This window comes from Homo sapiens, chromosome X (assembly GCF_000001405.40).
Source record: "Homo sapiens chromosome X, GRCh38.p14 Primary Assembly".
Lineage (NCBI taxonomy): Eukaryota > Metazoa > Chordata > Mammalia > Primates > Hominidae > Homo > Homo sapiens.
The window spans coordinates 39,973,105-39,976,157 of NC_000023.11; the positions used below are offsets into that span (position 1 = coordinate 39,973,105).

General features: G+C 49.9%; 1 annotated feature.

Moving 5' to 3' along the window:
- Positions 392 to 1,142: an enhancer, noted in NCBI's record as "H3K4me1 hESC enhancer chrX:39832750-39833500 (GRCh37/hg19 assembly coordinates)". NCBI's record gives its function as "activates a minimal SCP1, AML or CMV promoter by ChIP-STARR-seq in primed H9 embryonic stem cells {active_cell/tissue: H9 hESC(primed)}" and the evidence as "EXISTENCE:reporter gene assay evidence [ECO:0000049][PMID:30033119]".

The following is a 3,053-nucleotide window of genomic DNA, read 5'->3' on the forward strand; positions in this document are numbered from 1 at the left end:
AGAGAAAATGACTATATTCCTCAGAGAATGAGTTTCTTCTTTCACATGTAAGCCTTTTTCCTCAGAGCAAGGCACTAGCGCTGAGTGGAGACATGTACCTAAAATTCTGGCCCCTCCTTTAAAGTGAACTAGAGGCCAGACATGGTGGCTCATGCGTGTAATCCCAGCACTTTGAGAGGGCGAGGTGGGAGGATTGCTTGAGCCCAGGAGTTCAAGACCAGCCTGGGCAACATGGAAAAACCCTATCTCTACAAAGAACTCAAAAAATTGCTGGGTGTGATGGCACATGCCTATAGTCCCAGCTACTAGGGAGGCTGAGGTGGGAGAATGGCTTGAGCCCGGGAGGCAGAGGTTGCAATGGGCAAAGATCACGCCACTGCACTCCAGCCTGGGTGACAGAGTGAGACTCTGTCTCAAAAAAAAATGTGGACTAGATCTCTCTTGGATGTCTGCAAAGTCCAACCAACTCCAAGGACTATGTTTAAATTCACCAGAGTCAAATGCAGATTCCAACACACATCTATTTCTCTGCTCTTATCTTCTATATTTCTTTCCCACGCTCCAACATCACCCCCTGGGGAAAGGGGAGGAAAAGGAAAAAATGTCCATACAGGAGAACACAGTTTTATTAAAGCAAAGTGAATGCACAACCATCCATAAATGGAGTGTGGAAAACAAGGCTATGTCACATGTGATTCCTTGTTCATTTTATTGCGTAAAAGATCTTTTGTTGTTTAATTTTTCAGCTCCAAGCACAGGCTTCCGCCAGCACAACTCCCTGGATGGAAGTTCAAGTTTGCCTTGGCCTTCCTTTGTCCACAGGCCACAAGAGCTAAGCAGGCCTGGCGGCTAGCAGGGCTGACACCGGAGCACGCAGGGAGGCTGGGGGTGCAAGGTGAGGGTCAGCAAGGTCAGAGAGTGTGAGGCCAGGGCTTGCACTGCCAGGGGCTATGTGGCCCGGGCTTGCATAGCCAGATTCTGTCTGGCCAAGGTCTGCATGGACAGTCTGTGTGTCACGGCCATTGCCACCCGCCTTAACCAGTCTGAGGCCTCCTGACCCAGAAGAGAGAGATGCTTTGCAGGCTCTACAAAGCTTTGTAGCTAGAACTACAAAGCTATAACGCAGTGGGAATGGGGGCCACACTGGGGAAGTGTTGGGCTGTATCTAAGCACTCCTGGGGAGTGACGACCCCCTGGAGGACTCCCAGCCCCCTTCTCTTTAGGCAAGAAGCCTTGCCTTGGACCTCTGAGGCTGAGGTGGTTTCCTTCCCAGCCCCATGGTCCATTCCACCTTCAGCATCCACCTCCTGCTTTTCCCTCCACCTACCCCCGCCCCCCAGCAGCTGCTTTCCTGTCGACAGGGAGGACAATGAGCTAGGAGCTGTGTGCGCAGTGGCCTGGGCAGGCAATCCTGCCTCTCTGGGTGACAACAGAGGGTTGTTTTCCTTACCTTCCCTGACCTCAAAGCAAAGGGGGCTCCTGCCACATTGCTCAGGCAGGGGAAGGGCTGGGGGCCTGCTGGGCTTGCAGGCTGGGGAGAGACATGCTCTGAAACACCGCGAAAGGAACTGTCAGCCTTCATTATTAATACCCAGTGTTAATATTTAATGTCAGAAAACTGCAGCTCCCTTCCCTGAACCGTCATCAGACCTGCCCGGTCACACCAACCAGAATTCTCCCAACTCAGCACCCCCTGTAGCCCCGTGCCAAGACCAGCAAAGCAGTTTAGGCTTACTTGAAAGTGTAGGAGCAAAATGAATTCTAAACAAAGAAAATTCATATGAAATAAGACTAGGAAGTTATTTTCTTACTTTTGAAATCAACTCTATTCTTTAAACATCTCTAATACTCTGTGTTCACGTACCAGAAAATTTAGAAATGGAGTAAGGCGTAAGTGCAACCCTTAATACAGGAAGGTTTTCATTCCTCTGAGTATTTTGTCTGTTGTTGATATTCCAGTCATATTTCTTAATCAGCAGCAGCAGTACAGTATAGATGCAACTAACAAAATCCAAAGGATCAGGAACTGACAGACATCCCAAGATGAATTCGAGATATTCAAAGAACAGGAATATCTACCATTTAAGCAATCAACTAATTCTTACCTATTAACTAACTTGTTTCTCAACCTGGGGCACCATTAGCATTTGGGGAGGAATGTTCTTCATGGCACAGGACTGCCCCACACACAGTCTGTGATGACTAATCCCAAAATGGCCCTCTGACATTGTGATACCAAAAACACAAGGACCCATTCATTTCCAAATGCCCCTGAGTGGTGCCAGTGCAGCCTGAGAGTGGGAACCCCAGATCCAGGTGCACTAGGCTGCTGGGGTGAATTTTTTGGCAGGCACAGAGGTAGAAAGGCAAACTGAGAAATGATCAAAGCACAAGGGAAGACCAGAAGGTCTGGACCATCCTCGCGCTGAGGCCCTGGGAAAGGCAGCAGGGTCTGGGGCTTGGCTCCACAAGGTGAACTGAAGTGGTACCCCACCCCCACTCCAGGGCAGTGGCCTCCTCCCCTGTCTGCTGAGAGCAGGCTGCCACCTTCATTTGTGGTGGGGAGTGGCCATGGCTTGCAAAGCTTTCATCTTTATGACTTCAAAGAACAGCCTCAAAAAAATGCCCAAGGCATAATTTTCCAGGATCCAGGAAACTGAATGACTCACCTGTGCTGGCACCAGCCTAGGGGCCTGGCTTGCCTCTCCAGACTCGAACCGCACCTACCAGGCCTCACCTGGCCACCAGCTCGTGGCAGGCACTTTTTTTTTTTTTTTTTTTTTGAGACGGTCTTGCTCTGTCACCCAGGCTGGAGTCCAGTGGTGCAATCATGGCTCTTTGCAACTTCAGCCTCCTGTGCTCAAGTGATTCTCTGGCCTCAGCCTCCTTAGTAACTGGCACTACAAACCCAGCTATATTTTTGTTTTGTTTTGTTTGTAGAAACAGGGTTCCATTATGCTGCCCAGGCTGGTCTTGAACTCCTGGGCTCAAGCAATCCTCCTTCCTTGGCCTCCTGAGTAGCTGAGACTACAGGCGTGAGCCACTGCACCCAG